The following is a 26,089-nucleotide window of genomic DNA, read 5'->3' as shown; positions in this document are numbered from 1 at the left end:
ATCCCCTTTGCCACCCCCACCATCTGACAGGCAGTGCTCCAATGTTTGTGAGAGCCAAGGCAAACTTGGGCTTAAGGCGCCATCTAGTGCCCAAAAGGAGGCACTGATATACAATAGTATTAAGGGAACTCACACGCTACTGCAAAGAATCTCTAAGAAAACATACCTTAGAAAGACAAAACAAGCAAGACAGCAAAGACTGGGATAAATAATAAATCCTTTAAAGCAAAGCCACAAATGTACATCCACGAGAAACAACAGCAAACACGGAACTATGACATCCCCAAATGCACAAAGCAAGGAGTCAGGGAGAAGAAAAGCAATGTGTGAGGTCTCAGATCAAGAACAAAATAACAGTTCTACAGACACTCAGCAAAATCCAAGATAACACAGAGAAGCAATTAAATTTATCAGAGAAATGTAACACAAAGAGATTGAAATTAAAAAAAAAAATCCTGGAACTCAGAAATACGTTTTCTGAAAAATGGATTACAGGCTCTCACATTGCAAGAAACAATCAGTGAGCTCAAATACAGCCTATTGGAAAATACAGTCAGAGGAGAAAAAGAAAGGAATGAAGAACACCTGCAAGATATAAAGAATAATCTCAAAAGAACAAATGTAAGAGCCACTGGCATTCAATGATGAGTTAAGAGCAAGGAGTAGTAAGCTTATTCAAAGAAATAACAGAAAACATTCCAAATCTAAAGAAAGATATAAATATCTAGGTACAGAAGGTCAGAAATTACCAAATATATTTTTATTAGTCCATTTTCACTCTGCTATAAATAATACCTGAGGCTGGGTAATTTATGAGGGAAAGTGGTTTAATTGACTCAGTTCCACATGGCTGGGGAGGCTTCAGGAAACTTACAATCGTGGTGGGAGGGGAAGCAGGCACCCTTACACTGCAGCAGGTGAGAGAGAGTATGTGTGAAGGAGAAACCGTCAAACACTTATAAAACCATCAGATCTTGTGAGAACTCACTCACTATCACAAGAACGGCATGGGATAAGTGCCCCCATGATCCAATCACCTCCTACCAGGTCCCTCCCTTGACACATGGGGATTATGGGAATTACAATTCGAGATGAGACGGGTGGGAACACAAAGCCAAACCATATCAATATTCAATCCAAATAAGAGTATCCCAAGGCAAATAATAATCAAACCTGAAAATGTCAAGGACAAAGAGAAGATCCTTAAAACAGCAAGAGAAAAAAAATAAAAGAACATATAAAAGAGCTCTGATTTTTTTGGCAAGAGACTTTTCAACAGAAACCAAACAGGCCATGAGGGAGTTAAGTGACACATTCAAAGTGCTACAGGATAAATGGAAACAAAAACAAAACCTGCCAACCAACTATGCTGTACCCAGCAAAGTTTTCCTTCAAACAGGAAGGAGATATAAAGTCTTTCCTAGACAAAAGCTAAGGGAATTCATCACTACTAGACCCATCTTTTCAGAAATGCTAAAGGGAGTTCTTTAATTTGAAAGAAAACAAACTTTGATGTGCAAAACCAAAAATGTTTGAAGGTATAAAACTCACTGGTAAAAGTAGACAAATTCAGAATGCTCTAATGCAGTAATTGTTACATGTAATCCATTCATATCTCTAATATGAAGACTAAAAGACAAATCTACTGAAAATATTAACAGCAACCTGTTAAGAGATAGGGAAGATAAATAGATGTAAATTAAGACAACAAAATGTCAAAATGTGGGAGGATGGAGTTGAAGTGTAGAGTTTTTTAGTTTTTCCCTTGATTCTTTCCTTTTCTTTGTGATCAAAGTTAAGTTGTCATATGTTTAAAATAACTTACAGCTATGGCTTTGGTAAGCCTCATGGTAACCACAAAGCAAAGACTTATGATAGATACACTAAAAATAAAAAGCAATGAATTAAAACATACTCCCAGAGAAAAACCACTTAATCACAAACAAAGGCAGTAAGAAGGAAGTAAGGGAGGAGTTACAAAACAACCAGAAACCAAGTAATGACATACTGCGTAGTAAGTCCTTATCTATCAATAATAATACTGAATGTAAATGAACTAAATTCTCCAACCAAAAGATATAAGCATGGCTGAGTGAAAAACTTTTAGAAACAAGATCCAACTATATATTGCCTACAAGAAACTCAAATCACCTATAAAGACACACATAGTCTGAAAGTGAAGAATGGAAAAAGACATTCCACGCAAATGGAAGCAAAAAAAAAAAAAAAAAAAAAAAAAAGTAGCCATACTTGTATCAAACAAAATAGAACAAGTGAAAGTCTGTAAAAAAAAAAAAAAAAAGGACACGGAAGGTCACTGTATGATGATAAAGGAAAGGATCAATTCAGCAAGAGGCTGTAACAATTTAAAAATATATGCACCCAATTCTGGAGCACCCAGATATATTAAGTAAACATTAATAAATCTAGAGGAGAGATAGACTATAATACAAATAATAGCAGGGGGCTTCAACACCCATCTCTCAATAATGGACAGATCATCCAGACAGAAAATCAACAAAGATACAATGAAGTTAAACTACACCTAGACCAACTGGACCTAGTGACATTTATAGAACATTTCACCTACTACTGCAGAATACACATTCTTCTCATTAGCACATGGAACATTCTCCAGGATAAAACATATGTTAGGCTACAAAACATGTCTCAACAAATTTAAAAAAGTCAAAATCATATCAAGTATCTTTTCTGGCTACAACAGAATAAAAATAGAAATCAATAACATGAAGAATTTTGGAATCTACACAAACGTGGAAATTAAACAACATGCTCCTGAATGATCAACAGATTAATAAAGAAATTAAGAAGAAAACTTCAAAATGTCTTCAAACAAATGCAAATGGAAACGTAACTTTCCAAAACCTATGAGATACAGCATAGCAGTACTAAGAGAGAATTTTATAGCAATAAATGCCTACATCAAAAAAGTAGGTTTCAAATAAGCAACCTAACGATGTACTTAAAAGAACTAGAAAAGAACAAATCAAACCCAAAATTAGTAGAAAGAAACAATAAAGATCAAGGCAGAAATAAATAAAATTGAGACTAAAACAAGTACAAAAAATCAATGAAATGAAAAAGTTGGTTTTTTGAAAAGATAAACAAAATCAACAAACCTTCAGCTAGATGTATTAGGCTGTTCTCACATTACTATAAAGAAATACCCAGCCAGGCGCAGTGGCTCATGCCTGTAATCCCAGCACTTTGGGAGACCAAGGCGGGCGGATGACCTGAGGTTGGGAGTTCGAGACCAGCCTGACCAACATGGAGAAACCCCATCTCTACTAAAAATACAAAAATTACCCAGACATGGTGGTGCATGCCTGTAATCCCAGCTACTCAGGAGGCTGAAGCAGGAGAATCACTTGAACCCGGGAGGCGGAGGTTGCAGTGAGCTGAAATCACACCACTGCACTTGAGCCTGGGCAACAAGAGCAAAACTCCGCCTCAAAAAAAAAAAAAAATACCCGAGACTGGGTAAATTATAGAGGAAAGAGGTTTAATTGGCTCATGGTTCTGTAGGCAGTACAGCATGATGCTGGCTCAGCTTCTAGGGAGGCCTTAGGAAAACTTACAATCATGGTGGAAGGCAGGGGGAGCAGCACTTCACATAGCTGGAGCAGGAGGAAGAGAGACAGTGGAGGTGCCACACACTTTTAAACAACCAGATCTCACAACTCACTATCACAATGACAACTCCAAGGCAGATGGTGTTAAACCATGAGAAACTGCCCCGGTGATCCAATCACCTCCCACCAGGCCCCACCTCCAATACTGGGGATTACAATTGAACATGAGATTTGGGTGGGGACATAGATCCAAACCATATAATTCTACCCTGGCCCCTGCCAAATCTCATGTCCTTCTCACATTGCAAAATCTAGTCATGTCTTCCCAACAATCCCCCAAAGTCTTAACTCATTCTAGCATTAACTCAAAAGTCCAAAGTCTCATTTGAGACAAGGCTAGTCCCTTCCACCTATGAGCCTGTAAAATCAAAAACAAGGTAGGTACTTCCAAGATACAATGGAGGTATAGGCCTTGGGTAAATACACAAAAGGAAGAAATAGCCCAAAAGAAAGGGGCTACAGGCTGCATGCAAGTCCAAAGCCCAGAAGGGCAATCACTAAATCTTAAAGTTCCAAAATAATATCCTTTGACTCCATATGTTACATCCAGGGTATGCTGGTGCAAGGGGTGGGCTCACAAAGCCTTGGGCAGCTCCATGCCTATGGCTTTCCAGGGTTTAGCCCACATGGCTGCTCTTAAGGGCTGGCACTGAGTGCCTGTGGCTTTTCGAGGCTGAGGATGCAGGCTGCTAGTGGATCTACCATTCTGGGGTCTGGAGGACAGTGGCCCTCTTCTCAAAGCTTCACTAGGCAGTGCCCCAGTGGGGAGTCTGTATGAGGGATCCAACCCCACATTTCCTCTCTGCACTGTCCTTGTAGAGGTTCTCCATGAGGGCTCTGCCCCTACAGCAGGCTTTAGTCTAGACATCCAGGATTTTCCATACATCCTCTGAAATATAGGCAGAGGCTCCCAAGCCTCAACTCTTGCATTCTGTGCACCACCTGCAGGCTTACTACCACATGGAACCTGCCAAGGTTTATGGTTTGCACCCTCTGAAGCAGCAGCCCCAAGCTGTATCTGGGCCCCTTTTAGCCATGCTACAGCTGGAGCAGCTGGAATGCAGGGAGCAGTTTCCCAAGGTTGCACAGGGCCCCATTCTGTCCTCCTAGGCCTCTGGTCCTGCGGCGGGAGGTCTCTAAAATGCCTACAAGGTGTTTTTCTCATTGTCTTAGACATGAGCACTTGGCCTTTCCTCTAAGATCTGGAATAACACAAGGTTGTCCACTTTACCACTTTAATTGAACATAGTACTGTAAGTCCTAGCAAGAGCAATTAGGCAAGAGAAAGAGCATCCACACTGGAAAAGAAGAAGTCAAATTATCCTTGCCTGCAGATGATCTGATATTATATTTAGAAAAATCTAAAGACTCCACCAAAAATCTGGGTCAATTCAGTAAAGTTGCACAATACAAAATCAATATACAAAAAAACAGTAGCATTTATATATGCCAAAAGCAAACACACTGAAAAAGAAATCAAGACAGCTACAAAAATACATAAAGTATCTAGGTATAAGTGTAACCAAAGTGAAAGATCTCTACAAAGAAAACTAAAAAACACAGATGAAAGAAATTAAAGAGGTCACACGAAAGAAAGGGAATGATAGCACATGCTCATGGATTGGAAAAATTAACATTGTTAAAATCTCAATACTATGCAGCAACTTCTACAGATTTAATTCCATCCCTATCAAAATTTCTTCACAGAAATAGAAAAAAAATCCTAAAATTTATACAGAACCACAAAAGGCCGTGAAAAATCAAATTAATTCTGGGCAAAAAGAATAAACCTGGAGGCATCACACTACCCAACTTCAAAATATAATACAAAGCCATAGTAACCAAGGTAGCATGGTACTGGTGTAAAAGCAGACACATAGACCAATGGAACAAAATAGAAAATTTAGAAAAAAATCTACACATTATCAGCCAATTCATTTTTGACAAAGGTACCAAGAACATACATTGAAGAAAGGACAGTCACTTCGATAAGTGGGGCTAAGAAAACTAGATAACCATAATGCAAAAGTCTGAAGCTAGACCCCTCTCTACAAAAAGCCAATCAAAATGGACTAAAGACTTAAACTAGGACCCAAAGCTATGAAATTACTAGAAGAAAATATTGGGAAAACACTCTAGGCCATTGGTCTAGGCAAAGATGTTTTGTGTTAGATGCTAAAAGCACAAGGAACAAAAGCAAAAATAGACTAATGAGATTATATCAAGCAAAAAAGTTTCTGCACAGCACATGAAGGAATCAACAAAGTGAAGAGACAACCTACAGAATAGGAGAAAATATTTGCAAACTATCCATCCAAAAAAGGACTAATAACTAGAATATACAAGGAACTCAAACAACTCAGTAGAAAAAAAAAAACAATACAAATAATCCCATTTTAAAACTGACAAAAGATCTAATAGACATTTCTCCAAAGAAGACATCAACTGGACAACAGGTATATTTTAAAGTGCTCAACATTACTAATTATCAAGAAGATAAAGAAAATCAAAACTACAATGATAAAGCATCTCACCCCAGTTAAAATGGCTTTTATCAAGAAAACAAAAAATAATGGATGTTGCAAGGATGCAGAGAAAGGAGAATGCTTCACACACCATTGGTGGGAATGTAAATTAGTACAGCCACTACAGAAAACAGAATAGAAGTTCCTCAAAAAACAAAAACAGAACTACCATATGATCCAGAAATCTCCCTGCTGGATATATATCCAAAATAGAGGAAATCAGTATATCAAAGAGACAGCTGCACTTCCATGTTTATTGCAGCACTATTCACTATAGCCAAGACATGTAATCAACCTAAGTGTCTATCAATGGATGAATGAAGAAAATTTTATATATGGGTATATATATGTGTATGTACATGTATGTATATGTGTATATATGTATATATGTGTAAATATATGCACATACATACATAGGCACATACATAAACATACACACATACACAATGGAATACTATTCAGCCATAAAAAAGAATTATGTCATTTGCAGAAACATAGAACTGGAAGTCATTATATTATATGAAATAAGCCAGGCACAGAAAGATAAGTACCACATGTTCTCACTAATAAGTGGGAGGTAAAAAAGTAGATCTCATAGAGATAAGAGAGTTGATTAGTGCTTACCAGGGACTAGAATGGGTAGGGGGAAGGGCGGTGAAAAGCAGTTATTTAACAGGTACAAAAATACAGTTAATACCAGAAATGAGACCTAGTGTTTTATAGTACAGTAGAATAACCATACTTAACAATAACATATTGTATAGTACAAAATAGCTAGAAGGTTGGTATGCAAAAAGATCTTAAAAAGAAAAGGAAAAAAATGGAACAGAATAAAGAAAAATGTTTGAGGTGATTGATATCCCCATTACCCTGATTTGATCATTACACATTGTATGCATGTATCAAAATATCACATGCACCCCCAAAATATGTACAACTGTTATGTATCAATTTTTTTAAAAACTGTATTGCTAAAAATGCTAATGGTCATATGAGCCTTCAGCAAGTCATAGTCTTTTTGCTGGTGGAGGGTTTTGCCTCGATGCTGATGGCTGCTGACTGATCAGAGCGGTGGTTGCTGACGGTTGGAATGGCTGTGGCAATTTCTTAAAATAAGACAACAATGAAATTTGCTACATTGATTGACTCTTCTGTTCCCAAGTTTTCTCTGTAGCATGGATGCTGTCCTGATAGCATTTTACCCACAGTAGAACTCCTTTGAAAATTGGAGTCAGTCCTCTCAAACCCTGCCACTGCTTTATATAATATTCTAAATCTGTTGTTGTCATTTCAACAATGTTCACAGAATCTTCACCAGGAGTAGATTCTATCTCAAGAAACTACTCTCTGTGCTCGTCCATAAGAAGCAATTCCTCATCCTTTCAGGTTTTATCGTGAGATCGCAGCAATTCAGTCACATCTTCAGGCTCCACTTCTAATTCTACTTCTCTTGCTATTTCCACCACATCTGTAATTAAATCCTCCACTGAAGTCTGAGCCTCTCAAAGTCATCCATGAGGGTAGAAATCAACTTCTTTTAAAATCCTGTTAATGTTGATATTTTGACTTCCTCCTATGAATCACCAATGTTCTTAATGGCATGTAGAATGGTGAATACTCTCCAGAATGTTTTCAATTTACTTTGCTCAGGTCCAACAGAGGAATGACTAGCTGTGGCAGCTATAGCCTTATGAATATACTATATATGAATATTCTAAATAATAAGACTAGAAAGTTAAAATGACTCCTTGGAATCCATGGACTGCAGAATAAATGTGTTAGCAGGTATGAAAAAAACATTAATCTCCTTGTATATATTCATCAGCATTCTTGGGTGATGACGTACACTGTCAATGAGCAGTAATATTTTGAAAGGAATCTTTTTTTCTAAATAGTAGGTCTTAACAGTGGGCTTAAAATATTTAGTAACCCACATTGTAAGTAGATGTGCTGTCACATAGACTTTGTTGTTCTATTTATAGAGCATAAGCAGATTAGTAGATTCAGCATAATTCAAAAGAGCCCTGGCATTGCCTTCAACTTAAAGTCACCACCTGCATTAGCCCCTAACAAGAGAGTCAGCCCCATCCCTTGAAGCTCTGAAGCCAAACATTGACTGCTCCTTCCTAACTATGAAAGTCCTAGATGGCTTCTTCTCCCAATAGAAGGCTGTTTTGTCTACACTGAAAATCTATTGTTTAAGGTAGCCACACTTTTTTTTCAGATCTAGACCTGCAGAAATGTAGCCACTTTTATTATCTTAGCTAGATCTTCCTTAAAACTTGCTGCACCTTCCCCATCAGCACTTGCTCCTTCACCTTGCACTTTTATATTATGGAGACAGCTTCTTAAACCTCATTAACCAACTTCTGCTAGCTTCCAACTTTTCTTCTGCACCTCCCTCGCCTCTTTCAGTCTTCAGAGAATTGAAGAGAGTCAGGGCCTTGCTCTGGATTATGCTTTGGCTTAAGGGAATATTGGGGGTGGTTTGATCTTTTATCCAGACCACTCAAACTCTATCCCTATCATCAATAAAACTGTTTCACTTTCTTATCATTTGTGTATTCACTGGAGTAGCACTTTTAATTTCCCTCAAAAACTTTGCCTTCATATTTTGGCTGTTTGACACAAGAGATCTAGTTTTCAGCCTGTCTTGGGGCTTTCAACGTGCCTTCCTCATTAATGATGACATTCCTAATTTTGAAGAATTTTGACTCTTAATTTCACTTGAACAATTAGGGGCCACTGTAGGGTTATTAGTTGGTCTAATTTCAACATTTTTGTCTCTCAGGGTACAGGGATGCCCAAGAAGAGGGGGAGAGATGGAGAAATGGCCAGTCAGTGGAGCAGCCAGAAAACATACAATATTTATTAAGTTCACTGTCTTATCCTGGCATGGTTCATGGTGTACCAAAACAATTACAATAGTTAACATCAAAGATCACTAATCACAGATCACCATAAAATACAAAATAGTAGCTGGGCATGGTGGTTCATGTCTGTAATCACAGCACTTTGGAAGGCCGAGATAGGAGAACTGCTTGAGTCCAGGAATTCAAGACCAGCCCAGACAGCAGAGACCCCATCTCTATAAAAAATACAAAAATTAGCTGGATATGGTGGCATGCAACTGTAGTTCCAGCTACTCAGGAGGCTGAAGTGGGAGGATCACTTGAGTCTGGGAGGTTACGGTTGCAGTGGGCCATGATTGTGCCACAGAACTCCAGCCTGTGCAACAGAGTGAGACTCTGTCTCAAAAAAAAAAAAAAAAAAAAGGCCGGGTGCAGTGGCTCATGCCTGTAATCCCAGCACTTTGGGAGGCCAAGGCGGGCAGATCACGAGATCAGGAGATTGAGACCATCCTGGCTAACACGGTGAAACCCCGTCTCTACTAAAAAAATACAAAAAAAAAAGTTAGCCAGGCGTGGTGGCGGGCACCTGTAGTCCCAGCTACTCAGGAGGCTGAGGCAGGAGAATGGCGTGAACCCAGGAGGCAGAGCTTGCAGTGAGCTGAGATCACACCCCTGCACTCCAGCCTGGGCGACAGAGCGAGACTTCGTCTCAAAAAAAAAAAAAAAAAAAAAAGGACATCATAATAATAATAAAGTTTGAAATATTGCAAGAATTACCAAAAGGTGACACAGAGACATGAATTGAGTACATCTGTTAGATAAAGGGCATTGATAAACTTGCTCAACACAGGGGTGCCACAAACCTTCACTTTGTGAAAAACAGTATCTATGAAGCACAACAAAACAAAGTATACCTGTAAATCCTAGAGGATCAGTAAAAAATAAAAAAGAGACATAACTAATAAGTCAATAGTAGAGATAAAATAGGATCATTATAAAAACTCAATCCAAAAGAAAGCAGAAAAAGAGAAAAAAGAATGAAGAATAGATGAGACAGCTGGGCGCAGTGTGGCTCATGCCTGTAATCCCAGCACCTGAGGAGGCCAAGACAGGTGGATCACCTGAGGTCAGCAGTTGGAGACCAGCCTGGCCAACCTGGTGAAACCCCATCTCTACTAAAAATACAAAAATTAGCTGGGTGTGGTGCCAGGCACCTGTAATCCCAGCTACTCAGGAGGTTGAGTCCTCACCTGAACCTGGGAGCCGGAAGTTGAAGTGAGCCAAGATCATGCCATTGCACTCCAGAATGGGAGACAGAGTGAGACTCAGTCTCAAAAGAAAAAAAAAAAAAAAAGAATGGATGAGAAAAATAAATGATAGATTTAAATCCAACCACATCAATAACTACACTAAATGTGGATGGTCTAAACATACTAATTAAACAACACATTATCAGACTGGGTTATAAAAAGCAAAGAAAGACCCAAATATATGCTGCCTACATTAAACCCACTTTAAAACAAAGAGATTGCTTAAAAGTAAAAAGGTAGAAAAAGATACACTGGCAAACACTCATCTAAAGAAAGTTGGCATAATTATATAAATATCAGACAAGGCTGACTTCAAAACAAGACATTACCAAGGTTAAAAAGAAACATTACTGGTGAGAATGCAAAATGATAGGGCCACTTTGGAAAACAGTTTGGCAGTTTCTTACAAAACTAAATATATTCTTATTATACAATCCAGCAATCATGCTCCTTAGTATTTATCTAAGGGATTTAAAAATATGTCCACACTAAAACCTTTACATAGATGTTTATAGCAGCTTTATTCATAATTCCCAAAACTTGGAAGCAACAAAGACAAGATGTCCTTCATTAGGTAAATTAAACATTTTCCATTGTTGTTGATCTCTACATATACTGCTCCAATAAAAAGAAATACTCTGGGGAAAAAAACTGAAAAATCACTTATAACCCCAAAATAACTATTAGTATACCACAGGTGTGCAGAAGAACATACACACTTTTTATCTTTTAGAGACAATATAGCTAGTAAGAACAATGTAAAATAATCAAATGTGTATCACTAACAAGACAGATTTCAAGGTTTTGAGAGCATGATAAACTCCCTAGCATTTCTTTTCATGAAACTAACTAATCCTTCTTTTCTAGTAACCAGTCAAAAACATATTTTCCCAAAGTTTTCAAATGGAAAAACTATCAGTTAATTATTCTGAAAATATCTAGTATAAACACAAAATGGTTTTTAAGAAACACAGGCTGGGTGAGGTGGCTCATGCCTGTAATCCCAGCACTTTACAAGGCTGAGGTAGGAGGACTGCTTGAGGCCAGAAGTTTGAGACCATCCTAGGTAACAGAGCAAGATTCTGTCTCTATTTTTATTTTAAAAAAAGCATCACAAAGCAACGAGCAATAAATCACCTCTGCAACCCCTCTGAAGGACAAAACATACCATAGTGCTTTGCAGATCACTGGCACTCTAAGAGATTTGCTCTAGACTTCTTCTTTTTTTAATTAATTTTCTTCTTTCTTATAAAAAAAAATTCCTGCTAATAATCAGCTAATCTTAATGATTTTCAAAAAAGGGGGAAAAAAGCAAAATAACAATGCTTCGTTTCCATATTATTTATACAGTTTGAGTTGTTTGTTTAGCACATTAATGTCCTCAATAAATATCTACTAAGAACCTATTAAATGCCACTAAGACTCTGGGAACTTTCCAAAGATAATAACTTTCATAGACCTACATAGCTTATAAATCTAAGAGTTCACATTTGTGAAAAATAATTTAAATGGGAAAAAAAAACTGTCCAACTGGATTATTTCCTTAACATACTTGTAAAACTTATCTCTTCTTTGGCTTCTTTGTACCATTTTCATTGCTCTATAATTTGCTAACATATTAATTTTTAAATATTTTGAAATATCCAATTAGTAACTGTTTTCAAAAAACTTCAAATCACGAACAAAAAAGTAATGTTTGAGAAATATAGTACCTGACAGAGGATGTTCCTGGCCCACGGTCTCTGGAATCCATTACCCAACCAACATGACACTCTAGAGGGGGATTTGTGCTATGCCTTGTTTTTCTCTTTCTTGGACTCTAAAGAAAATAAAGTCAAGCATTGCAATTAGTTTCAATAGTGTGAACTTCACAAGTAAATTAAAACCCTCTGACTATAAATGAACTCAAACATTTTCATACTGTAGATAACACATTGTGAAATCATATGAAGTCACAAAACTCAAAAATCTCACACACAAGTTACAAAACTTAATAAATAAAGTCCTTTGGTAGGTTTGTGACACAAAGATGAAATGAAGTGCAGCTTAGTGTGATTCTTCATTATACTTTCTGTTCGTCTTTAATTACACTATCCAATTGTAAAAAAGGTTTTTGTTTGTTTGTTTATTTTTAAATGGGGTCTTACTCTGTTGCCAAGGCTGGAGTGCAGTGGCATGATCATGGCTCACTGCAGCCCTGACCCCTACAGGCTCAAGCAATCCTGCCACCTCAGCCTCCCAAGTAGCTGGGACTACAGGCACACGCCACCACGCCCATCTAATTTTTGTATTTTTTTAGAGATGGGGTCCCACTGCATTGCCCAGGCTCGTCTCCAACTCCTGGGCACAAGCGATCCACCTGCCTCGGTCTCCCAAAGTGTTGGATTACAGGCATAAACCACCGTGCCCAACCGAAAAATTTCCTAACCAGAGAAAATATCACTATGGTAAAGTATGATTTTTAAGTGAAATATTACAAGTTATAACACACATTTTTCAATGTGATAGAAACTAAAACGTTTCATTCTGTAATGTTAAAGGATACAAAATGCAAGCCTTATATTCCTGGTTGTTTTGTATACCTTTACATCAATGGCTTTTGGTTCTTTAACAACAGGATAAAATCTTGGTGTTTTGTTAGGATCTTGTAACCTAGGTGTTCGAGGTGTTTTGGGTGTTCTTGTAGGATGAATTCTAGGAGATTCTGGAACTGCTGTAGGCAACGAATGAACCATTGCTGCTGAAGTTATTTCTGAAACATCAAATAACTTCTGAGCTAATTCATCAGTCAAATCTGCAAAATAAAAAACTCTTAAAATTATTTAGATGCTAGGAAAATATTTTACTTTGAGAATAAGGATAATTTTGTAATTCTCTAAGCTCAAAGGATTTTTCACTGAAAACATTTCAAATATATAAAAACAAAAATAACAAATACTTTTTTGACCATTATCTAGCTTTATAAAATTTTTATTTTTCTATATCTGTTTATGACCTTTTTTTCTTTTAAAGAAAGGGTGAAGCTTCCTGTGTAACCTCCCCTAATCCCATTTCCCTCCTGCTTTCCCTTCTCAGAGATAACTAGCCTCTTAAATTGGAATTTTGATCTTTTATTACATATATGTAATATTATTTTGCATAATTAACTTTATGTAACATAATGCTATATATATATATATATATATATATCACTTTGTAAACTTTTTTCATGTTTTATTTACATAGCTCTAATTTGTTCATTTTCATTGCTGAATAGTATGTGGTGTACAAATATATCACAATTTATCCATTCTCCTGCAGATAGACATTTATGTTATTTCAAAGTTTTTTGTTTAATCAACAATGCTGTGATCAACATTGCTGAACATGTCTCTGTACAGGTACAAGCATTTCTCTAGGGTTTATATCTGAGTGGAAATGCTGAGTCAAAAGAGATAAGCATCTTCTAACTTAATGACTACTGACAGCCAAACCACTTTCCATAATGATTTCACCAACTTACACTCTCACCAGCAGCATGTGAGAATTCCAATTCAACATTCTGGTGAAGACTGGGTTTTGTGCAAACTCTTAAATATTCTTCCATCTCATGGGATTTAAATGATCTAGTTGTTGCTAGTGAAATTGAGCATGTTTTCATATTTCTAGTTACCCTTCAGACTTCCTCTTTTGTAAGCCTGCTATTCAAATCCTTTGACTGTTTTTTTTATTCGGTTATTTTACTTACTGATTTGTTCATGAAAATCTTATGGTAAGATAACAAACAAGCCAGCAGATGAATCAAGCAGTAGCAACAAAAAAAAATAGGCACTATTTCTGTGTGGTTTTTCTTCAGACTTATCGACTTTTTTTGATTCATATAACAACTTTTTGTTTTTTCACTCAACAAATACTAAGTGCCCGCTATTTGCCAAGCACTATTCTAGGCACGAATTTGTAAAGTCAAAAGTGAACTTACACATTTGCCATTTCCTCTCCCAATCCATTTTCTTCACTGTTACCAGAATGATTATTCTGAGGAGCAAATTAGATCATTTCATATTTCTGCTTAACATCCTTCAGTGTTTCCCATTTGCCTCTAGAATAAGCCTAGGCTCTTTACCCTGGCATATGAGATTTTGCTGATTTTGCCTCATCTGTTGTCATTTTCCACTTTGTTCTTGGTGACACAAATAGCACCAAACTGTCAGTCCTGTTCCTTGTTCCATATCTTTTCATATGCTTTTTCTTCTGTCTGAAAGTCCCTTTCCTGCATCTTTTGTATACCCAATGCAAAGGATATCATAGCCTCCCTTTAATACCCACCACAGATGTTACCTTTCTTGGGAATGTGAAGCACTCCTTGAACACCTCCTGCCAAGAGAGTTAATTAGTCCCTTTTTGTGCTGTGTCTGCATTTTATCCATTTATTGTTTCATTTATTAAATTAAAATTTATTTTCTTACATATCATCCCATAGATGCCAAGAGTAAGTCTCATTGCTTCCCAGAAAGCAACTACCACAACTGCATCGAATACTAGTGCCTACCATACATAATGTTTGGGAAAAAATGTATCCTCATCAAAGGAATGCTAAACTTAATTGAATTGTGTTAATACTGTTTTCCTTATGCCAAAAATATATACAATCTGGCCAGGTGCAGTGGCTCACGCCTGTAATCCCAGCACTTTGGGAGGCCGAGGCGGGTAGATCACATGAGGTCAGCAGCTCGAGACCAGCCTGTCCAATGTGGTGAAACCCCATCTCTACTAAAAATGCAAAAATTAGCCAGGCGTGGTAGCAGGCGCCTGTAATCCCAGCTACTCGGGAGGCTGAGGCAGGAGAATTGCTTGAACCCGGCAGGTGGAGGCTGCAGTGAGCCGAGATCATGCCATTGCACTCCAGCCTGGGGAACAAGAGCAAGACTTCATCTAAAAAAAAAATATATATATATATATACACACACACACACACATATGTGTATATATATAAATGTATATATTTATATAAATGTATATATAAATTTATATATAAATATATAATATATAAAAATATATTTATATATTTATATATAATATATATATTTATATATATAATATAAATATATATACACACATATATGTGTATATATATGTGTGTATATATATATATCGAGAGAGAGAGACAGAGACAATCCTAGAGATAAAAACATGAACATATACTGAAAAATGTGTTAAATCCAGTACCTTTGTGAAAGAAATTTTCAAAGATCTAGGAACAGTAACAACCCAGAAAGAGTAAGCTTCCTAGCACCTAGATTATGGTCTATAAATTCCAATTCCCACTAATTAGTTCTCCTCAAAAAAATAACATCTGGAGCACAGAATGTATAATCTGAGCCTGGGAAATCTTGAGCAAAAGGCAATAAAGTAGTTTTAAAAATACTAGCATAAATCAAAGGACACAAGAGTAAATCTTAGAGGTCCACCAGTCAAAAATAAAACAATTTGACCACTGAAAACAACGACCGAAATGGATTAATAAACACATTGAATAAATAAGCTCCATGAGTTCATAATGATACTTTAAAACTCAGTCACATTTAGAGTGTCCTAGGGCACCAACTCATTATTTTGAAAACCAATAAACTGAATAAAAAGAAAGAAGCAAGCATTTATCCTTCCTTGTCTGTAAAGGTTGAATTTCAGGGTAACCAAAGAGTTGATGAAAGAACATTCTTCACAGAAAAATTTTATGTAAGGATTGCAGAAGGAATGATGGAATTAGAAGATAACCATTTTGCAATTCTACTGAAATAGAGGAAATCTAGGGAATATTCATCAATAGCTGCTAAAACCATTTGGTAAAAGATTGGAGGGAAACTTGATAATGAAAGCATCAGGCTGACAACACCTGAATCAAATCATGAATCACAGCATCAGTAAAAGTGGGAGTGACAGATATGCTATGATGCTATAGGAAATAGACAAGTCTTCCTAAGAAATATCCTTGCTACTAGGAAAAAAACCATGCCAAAACCTGAATATACTCAGTCCTATATCTAAATCCTTTGTACTTATACTTCATTAATAATACATGGGATAAATGATATACTAAATGATATGAAGAAGATACAGTCAGGTAAATGCAGATCATAAGAAATCCTACCAGTTTCTTCAACAAATTAACCAGTTTCTTCAACAAATCATTGTCATGGAAAAACAAGGGAAGAGAAATCATTATAGATTAAGATTAACTTAACGGTGTTATCAGTCAATTGCAATGTTTGCATCTTGTTTCATCCTAGTTCAATCAAACAATTTGAAAAATATACGTCACACAATTAGGGACAACTAAACATATACTGGGTAGTAGATGATATTACAAATTATTGCTATTTTTGTTAGGTGAATTAATGGTGCTGTAAAAATTTACATACATACTTGTTTCGTAAGTCCTCATCAGTTTGCAATATATAGTGAAGTATTTCCAGGAGAAATGATATGATTTTGAGATTCAATATAGAACACCAGGAATAGATCGGGAGGCAAGGTACAGATTAAAAAAGAATGTCAAACTATTAACAATTGTTGAAATTAGGTGAGATGGATACATGGGGATTTCATTAAACAATTCTCCCTACTGTTATCTGTATCTGAACATTTCCAACATCAAAAGCTAAGTTTTATTTGTTTTATACTTATTTTATTCCAGGGTGAATTTTGCCCACCAATAAGAGTAGATATATTAATTTTGTAAGATCAACATCTATAGAGTATGTTGATTATCTCAAAAGAAACATTTTACAAAATGTTTATAGACTATCATATACCAATTTATAATATTTTGACATAAAATTATCAAATATTCATTGCAAGAACATAAAATATTCATAGTAAATATTAAAATATTATTATTGGAAATATATTAGGAAACAAGAATATATTAACATTTTTTGTCAACTACAAGCATAGGATAATATATGAATATCATCTAGATATTATAACTTCCTTCTGCTCAAAAGCATATGCCATCTCTTGAACATGAATAGTCATAATAGCATTTTTCATAATAGCCAAAACTAGAAACAATCCAAATGTCCATAAAATGTTGAATGGACAAAAAAATGTAGTATGCTCATTCTATGAAATAATACTTAGCAATAAAAGAAAGTTACTGATACATGCAATGACATAGATGAATCTCAAAAATATTATGTTAAGTGAAACATTCCAAGTATATAACTATGTATCATATAATTCCATTTATATAAAATTTCTGAAAAGTGCAAAACCATAGTGAAAGAAAGATAACTAGTTGCCTCAGGCTGAAGGGGAATGTTGGCATTGACTGCAAATGTGCATGAGGAACTCTTTAGTATGATGGAATTGTTCTAAAACCGGACTGTGGTGCTGGTATACAATTTTATACATCTACTGAAATTCAAATGATACACTTAAAAAGGGTTAGAGCAGTAATTTTCAAGGTATAGTCCCAAACAGAACTATTGGCATGACTTGGGAACTTGTTAGAAATGTATATTCTCATATCCCACCTAACTTACTGAATAAGAAAGTTGATACAGAGTCCTTTAATCTGTTTCAACAAGCTTTCCAGGTGAACCTTAAACATGCTAAATGTAAAAACCACTGAAGGGGTGTGCTAACTATTTTACTATCTAAGATTTTCCAAATTTTATCACTACCAAATCAGATCATTGCACAGCTTCATACCTGAACCATATGAGCCTTGTCTGCAGTCTCTACTGCCTTTATAAAAATAAAACTCAATATTATGCTGTTAGTGTTTAGTGAACGTCAAAAATTAAAAATGCTACATGAGAACTGGCACTTCAGGTTTTTTATAAATAAAAATGCCTCTAAAGCAGAACTCAGCAAACTTTTCCTACAAATGTTAGATAGTAAATATTTTTGGCTTTTCAAGACATAAGGTCTCTGTTGAAACAGCTCAGCTCTGCTTTTGTAGCATAAAAACAGCGAGAGGCCATATGTAAATGACCAGCGTTATCACATTGGCCCGTGGCAGGCTAGTTTCAGCCAATGGGCCACAATTTGCTGGCCACTGAACTATAGCGGTCAGATAGATATGAATCCAAATCCTGGATTCACACTTTGCTAGCAAAAAAACAAAATCATAACTATATTTTGTGTATTCAATAAAGCACAGAAAAACATAAGCATATTAAAATATATATATAGGCAGTATAAAAGAGAACCCAATCAAGCTTCTAGATGAGAAAAGGACAACAGCTGAGATTTTAAAACATACACATACACACACACACACACACACACACACACACACACATTGGATGGGATTAAAAATAGACTCTGTAGAAGAAAAGGCTAATAAACTTGAAGAGAGGAATAAAAGTTACCTAAAACAAAAACAGAGTAAAAGGACTGAAAAACAACAACAACAAAACAGAGCATTAGTGAAGTATGGGACAACTTCAAGTGCCCTAATATAAATTTTAAATGTAATTGGAGTCTTGAGAGAAAGAGAAAAAAGTAACAAGAAAACATTATTAATTTTCTTTTCTTTTTTTTTTTAAGACAGAGTCTGACTCTGTCACCCAGGCTGGAATGCAGTGGTTTGATCTTGGCTCACCGCAACCTCTACCTCCCGGGTTCAAGTGATTCTCGTGCCTCAGCCTCCCAAGTACCTTGGATTATAGGTGTGCGCCACCACACCCAGCGAATTTTTGTATTTTTAGTAGAGATGGGGTTTCACCATGTTGGCCAGGCTGGTCTCGAACTCCTGACCTCAGGTGATACACCCGCCTTGGCCTCCCAAAGTGCTGGGATTATAGGCATGAGCTGCCACACCCAGCCTATTAATTTTTTAATTAAAATTTTAAATTTAAAGGAACAGCTGAACACTTTCCAAATTTGATTAAAAATGTATAAACACACATATTTTAAAAATCCAGTGAGTTCAAGCACAAGAAACATGAAAAGTACACCAAAGCAATCGTAATTAAGGTGCTTAAAATAGGTGACAGAGGAAACATTAAAAGCAGCCAGAATCAACAGAAATTGAACCGAAAACAGAAAAGCAACCTCAACAACAGAAAAAAAAAGAAATTGAAAAAAAATAATCAGCCAATCCTTAAGAACCTGTGAGACAACAAAAGGTCTAGGAGAGAAGAAATGCAGGGCTAAAAATTTTTTTTGAGGAAATAATAGCTGAGAACTTCCCAAATTTGTCTAAAGTCAAACCTACAGATTTAAGAAACAGAGAATCCCATCCAGGATAAACCCAAAGAACTCCATACCAAGGCACATCACACTCTATTTGCTGTAAATGTCAGATGAAAAAAAAAAAAAATCTTGAAAGTAGCTAGAGATGCATTACTTGTAGGGAAACAATTTGAATGACTATAAATTATTATACCAAAAACCATGGAGGACAGAAAGGAGTGGTACAACAGTTTTGAATCACTAACAGAAAACAATTGTCAGTTCAGAATTCTTTATCCAGTGAAAATATCCTTGGCAATGAGGTGAAATAAAGACATTCTCAGAAGAAAGAAAACTATAAATCATAGCCAACTGAACTGCTCTAAAAGAATTGCTAACCTGAGTATTTCAGACAGAAGAAAATGATAACAAAGGAAACCTGAAACATCACAAATAGAGGAACAGCAAGATAAACGGTAAAGGTCCAGATAAATATAATAGACTATTCTCCTTTTAAGTTATTTAAAACACGCTTGAAAGTAAAACACGCTTGAAAGACAATCAAACATTGTCTGATGGGCTTTTTAACATATGAAGATATATAAGACAATTATTACATAAAGAAATTTCAGCTGAGTGTGGTGATTCATGCCTATAATCCCAGCACTTTGGGAGGCTGAGGTAGGAGAATCTCTTGAGGCCAGCCAGCAGTACTAGACCAATCTGGTCAATGTAGTGAGACCCTGTCTCCACAAAAAATAAAAAAATTAGTTGGGCTTTGTGGCGTGCACCTGTAGTCCGACCTACTCGGGAGGCTGAGGTGGTAGGATTGCTTGAACCCAGCAGTATGAGGCTGCAGTGAGCCATGACTAGACCACTGCACTCCAGCCTTGGCAACAGAGTGAGACCCTATCTCTTGGGGTGGGGCCGGTGGGGAGAGAAAGGAAAAAAAAAAAATCTCTATGGAGGTTAGGTTTCTACATTCTTATTGAAATGGTAAAATACTGATTCCAAATAAACTGAAAAGTATGTGTTTTGCAACCCCTAGAGCAATCACTAAAAACAATTATACAAAAAAAGATATATATGTCCAAATTCATAGTACATAAATTAAAATGTAATGGAAAAAGTTACAAACAACACAAAGAATGCACAAAATGGGCAATAGAAGCCAAAAAAAAAAAAAAAAAGAAAAGAAAAAGAAAATGAATAATAAAAAGGTTGACCTAAATCCAAACATACCAATAATTACATTAGTCAAAACATACCAATTAAAAGATATACTGTCAGACTGAATAAAAAACATGAACTAACTATATGCTATCTATAATAAACTGACTTCAAATATAATGATATGGGTACGTTAAAAGTAAAAAGTTGGCAAAAGATACATCACATACCATGAGAAAGAAATGAAAGAAAGCTGGAATGGCTATATTAAAATCAGACAAACTAAATTTCAAAGCAAACAAGGACAACATATATGAATGAAAGGGCCAATTCACCAAGATGACACAATATACCAATGGGTATAAGGTGAACTAACAAAAGAGCTTCTAAATAAATAAAGCAAAATACAACAGAACTGAAATAGGAAATAAACAAGTCTGCAATTATAGGTGGTGACTTCAACACTCCTCTCTCAGTAAGACAGAACCAGTAGACAAAAAATCAGCAAAGATATAGAACTCATCAACACCATTAACCAACTGAATTGAACAGACAATATGGAACATTCTACTCAAAAATAGTGTAATAAACATTCTTCTCAGATGCATATGGCATATTCACCAAGACAGACTATATTGTGGGTGATAAAATTAGCAAATTAATTAAACAAATTTGAAATTAACAAATTAATTTTAAATTTTAAAATAATGTAAAGTATGTTCTCTGGCTATAATATAATTAAACTATATATCAATAAGATTAATAACAGAGGGGTAACTGAAAAAATTCCAATCACTTGGAAATTACACCGAATACACTCCTAAATAATCCATAAAGAGGAAGTCTCAAAAGAATTTAGAAAATGTTTTGAAAAGAATAAAAATTAATAAAATACAGCATATCAAATTTGTGGAATGCAGCTAAATCAGTGCTTAAATAAAAATACATAGAATTAAGGGCTGTGCTCATGGCTCATGCCTGTAATCCCAGCACTTTGGGAGGCCGAGGTGGGTGGATCATTTGAGGCCAGGAGTTTGAGACCGGCCTGGCCAACGTGGTGAAACCTGGTCTTTACTAAAAATACAAAAATTAGCCAGGTGTGGTGGCACAGACCTGTAATCCCAGCTACTTAGGAGGCTGAGGCAGGAGAATCGCTTGAACTCAGGAGGCAGAGGTGGCAGTGAGCCGAGATTGTACCACTGCACTCCAGCCTGGGCGACAGGGCGAGACTCCGAGATTCTGTCTTAAAAAAATATATAGATAGATAGAGATAAAGATAGAAATAGAGATAGAGAGAGAATATTAAATGCTTATATCAGAAAAGAAACTCTCAAATCAATAATTTAAACTCTCCCTTAAAAATTAGATTTCAAAAAAATAGATTTCAGGAAGATATCCAAATTTTAAAAATTAAACAAAAACACTTCTAAATAGCTGATGTATCAAAAAATTAAAAAGAAATTAGAAAATATATAGAACTGAATGAAAATCAAAATACAATAACACCTAAAATACTGCTTAGGTGGAAATTTGTAGTATTAAATGGTTATAATAGGAAAGAAAAATGGTGTCAAATAAATGATCTAAGCTTCCACTCAAACTAGAAAAGGAGGAACAAAATAAGAAAAAAGGAAATAATAAGGAGCAAAAATTAATAAACCTGGAATAAAAATAAAGTAAATCAATGAAAATAAAACTTAAAAAAATTAAACTGATGAACCTCTAGCTAGATCGATCAAGACAAAAAAGACACAAATTTATAAATAGTAGGAATGAAAGAAGAGATATCTCTACAGAACCTACGAACAGTAAAAGGAGAAAAAGAGCATATTATAAATTCCAGGAAATGAATAAATTCAATAGGTACAAAAGCTCACCTGAGAAAAAAGACTTACTTAGTCTTATGTTTCTTAAATAAATAAATGTGTAGTTTAAAACATTCCAATAGTTCCAGGCCCAGATGGCATCACTTGGGAATGCTACCAATGTGTAAGAAATAAACAATTGTGGACAAACTCTTCCAAAATACAAAAGAAGGAACACTTACCAACTCATTTTATGACGCCAGCATTCCTCTGACACCAAAATCAGACAAATATAATCCAAGACAATGAAAAAAAAAAACAATATTCCTCATGAATATAGTACAAAAGGCTTCAAAAAATATGTAAGCAACCTGAGTCTAACAATATATAAAAGGATAATATAATAACTAAATGAGGCTTATCCTGAGAATCCAAGACTAGTTCAACATTTGAAAACCAATCAATGTACTTTACAACACAAACAGACTAATTAAGACAAGCCACATGACGTGAGCCACTGCAACTGGCCCAAAAGATATACCTAAAAAATGAAAATATAAGCCCCAGGTTCTGAGAAGATATGTGCAAATTACATATGTACATATGTAACAAAGGACTTGTATCCAGAGTAAAGAACTCTCAAAGCTCAGTAACAAAAGAAACAACTCAATAAAAGAAATGTCCAAAGATTTGAGCAGGCACTTTACCAAGCATAAACTGATGGCAAATAAGCACATAAAAAGATACTCAACAGCATCAGTCACAATGAGATACTACTATTAGATGGGCAAAATTTTTTAAAAAAAAAACTAACAATACTAAATGCTGGTGATGATGTAGAGCAACTGGAACCCTCATATATTGTTGGTAAGAACGTAAAATGGCACAACCACTTTGGAAAAGTTAGACAGTTTCTTAAAAAGTTATACTTACTGTATGATCCAACAGTGCCCTCAAAAGCATTTACCCAAGTGAAATGAAAACATATATTCACATAGCAACTTGATACTCATAGCAGCTTTATTCATAATCACCAAAAACAGGAACACAACCTATATGCCTTCAACTAATAAGTGGATAAATAAACTGTTTACATCCATGCAATGGAATACTACTTGTCAATAAAAAGGTAATACACACAAAAGCATGAATAAATCTGAAAGGCACTAGGCTAAATGAAAGGAGCCAGACTCAAAAGTCTGTATTTTATATGATTCTATTTATATGACATTCTAGAAATGGCAAAACTATAGGGATAGAAAATAGAAAACAAACTGCCAAAAACTTGGCCTGGGTTGAATACAAAGAGGCATGGAAAAATTCTCAGGGAGCAATGGAAATGTTCAGTAACTTAACTAGGTGGTGTTTACATGATTGCATTCATCTGTCAAAGTTCCCAAAATAATATACATAAATGGTGTGAAACTTACTGAATGTAAACTATATCTTAATTTTTTTAAAAATATGACCCACAAAGCTCAGGCAACAAAAGCAAAAATAAACAAACATGGCATCAAATGAAAAAGCTGCTTCTGCACAGCAAAGGAAACAATCAACAGAGTGAACAGACAACCTACAGAATAAGAAAAAACATTTGCAAACCACACATCTGATTAGGAGTTATATCCAAAATACATAAGTAACTCAGACAACTCAATAGCAAGAATGCAAATAATCCAATTAAAACATGGGCAAAAGACCTGATTAGAGATCTCTCCAAAGAAGACATAACAATGCCAACAGGTATATGAAAAGGTGCACTGGTGCAGCCATTGTGGAAAACAGTATGGAGATTTGTAAAGAAATTAAAAGTAGAATTACCATATGACCCAACAGTCCCTCTTCTGGGTACACCTTATATATATACCCAAAGGAAATGAAATCATCACCATAGAAAGATATCTATCTGCACTCACATGTCCATTGCCACATTATTCACAACAGCCAAGATATAAGATATGGGAACAACTAAAGTATGAGTCCACTTATGATAAACAGAGAAATGGTGATGTGTGTGTGTGTGTATATGTGTGTGTGTGTGTATATATACGTACACACGTGTGTATGTATATATGTATATATATGTGTGTGTGTATATATATATATATATATATATAGAGAGAGAGAGAGAGAGAGAGAGAGAGAGAGAGAGAGAGAATAGAATATAATTAAGCCTTTAAAAAAGGAGATCCTGCCATTTGCTACAACATGGATGAAACTGGAGGACATTATGCTAAATGAAATAAGCCAGACACAGAAAGAAAAATACTTCATAATGTCACTTATATATAGAATCTTTAAAAAAAAAAGTATATAGATGTAGATAATAAAACAGTAGTTACCAAGGGTGGGATGAAGGAGAATGGGGAGATGTAGGTAAAAAAATACCAAGTTGCAGATATGTAGGATAGATAAGTCTAGAGATCTAATGTACAACCTGAGGGCCATAGCTAATAACATTATATTATATTTGGTATTTTTGCTAAGAGAGATTTTAGGTGCTCTTGCCACAAAAAAAGGTAACTATGTGAGATAATGAATATGTTCATTTGCTTAACTATTGTAACCATTACACTATATATATATCAAAACATCATGTTGTACACCTTATATATATTTTTAAGAGGAAACAAAAAATATAACTGGATATTTGTAGGGTGATCAGAATGAAAGGAGGGAGACAGGCTAGGAGTTCATTACAATTAACCAAGGAGAAAACGCTGGTGACTTTTACAGGGTGATAGAGATGGAGAAAGTGAGAAGTGGTTAGATTCTAGATATATTTTAAATATATATGAATATAACTTTCCAATAAATAAGATACGGAATTTAAAAAACAAATGGATCAAAAATGACACAAACGTTTTGACCTGTGCAACTGGAAAAATGGAGGTAATATTTAGAGATGTGGAAGTCTAGGAGGAAGAGTCCTTGGAGAGGGGTGGGAATTCAGAACTTAGATTTTGGACATATGATATTTAACATGCTTATAAAATATACAAGTGGTACTGTTAACCACACAGTTGAATATTTGTCTGAAATACAGGATGGAGGTCTGGTCTATACATATTAATTTGATACTCATTAGTATAATAATGCTCTTTAAAACCCATGAGACTTGATGCTATTACACAAGGAGTTATTGAGGATTCAAAAGAGGAGAAATTTGAGGACTGGGTCCTAAAGCTTCCAAATTTTAGAAGTTAGGGAAACACTGAAGAACTAGCAAAAAAGACTCTATGAGGCAGAAGGAGAATAAGTGAATAAGTATCCAGGAAGTAAAAATGTGTTTCAGGACAGAGCGATTAATTTGATCTAATGCTGATGTCAGGTAAGATGAGGACTGATTTGACCCCTCTTATATATGGAGATTTCTGGTGGTATTATCAGTAGCTGATTTGGGATGTGGAGGACAGAGGCCTGTTTGGAGCAGGTATAGGGAATAAATAGGAATATAGATACTGAAGACAGTGAAAATAAACTCCTTCTTTATGCCTTAAATTCTATATCGTAATAGCAATACCAACTCTTTTCTATTAGGATCATTCTTTTATATGATTTCCCATCCTTTACCTTCCAATCTTTCCATATGTTATGACATATAACTAGCAT

At 35.5% G+C, this 26,089-nt stretch overlaps 1 protein-coding gene across 46 annotated transcripts in view; it reads right to left on the bottom strand.

Annotated features, from left to right (window-relative positions):
- Positions 1–26,089, bottom strand: part of LARP1B (La ribonucleoprotein 1B) — a 162,138-nt gene that overhangs the window by 31,362 nt on the left and 104,687 nt on the right. For 14 of the 46 annotated variants that reach the window (XR_938753.3, XR_938754.3, XM_017008340.2 and 11 more), the window contains 5 exons: positions 22,720–22,747; positions 14,658–14,693; positions 14,299–14,354; positions 12,923–13,134; positions 12,053–12,159 (listed from right to left, as the gene is read on the bottom strand). Coding sequence is in view for 42 of the 46 variants with exons in the window: in XM_017008340.2 (XP_016863829.1) it covers positions 12,053–12,159; positions 12,923–13,134; positions 14,299–14,354; positions 14,658–14,693; positions 22,720–22,747 (439 nt within the window). In the remaining 4 variants the exon portion in view is untranslated. Of the gene's footprint in view, positions 1–12,052; positions 12,160–12,922; positions 13,135–14,298; positions 14,355–14,645; positions 14,694–22,719; positions 22,748–26,089 lie in introns of those variants that run through there. The other 32 variants (NR_146772.2, NM_001410786.1, XM_011532060.3 and 29 more) reach the window with 18 other exon arrangements.

Source organism: Homo sapiens, chromosome 4, assembly GCF_000001405.40.
Source record: "Homo sapiens chromosome 4, GRCh38.p14 Primary Assembly".
NCBI classification, from domain to species: domain Eukaryota; kingdom Metazoa; phylum Chordata; class Mammalia; order Primates; family Hominidae; genus Homo; species Homo sapiens.
Note: the sequence above shows the minus strand (reverse complement) of the source record. Positions and strands in the feature narration are given on the sequence as shown.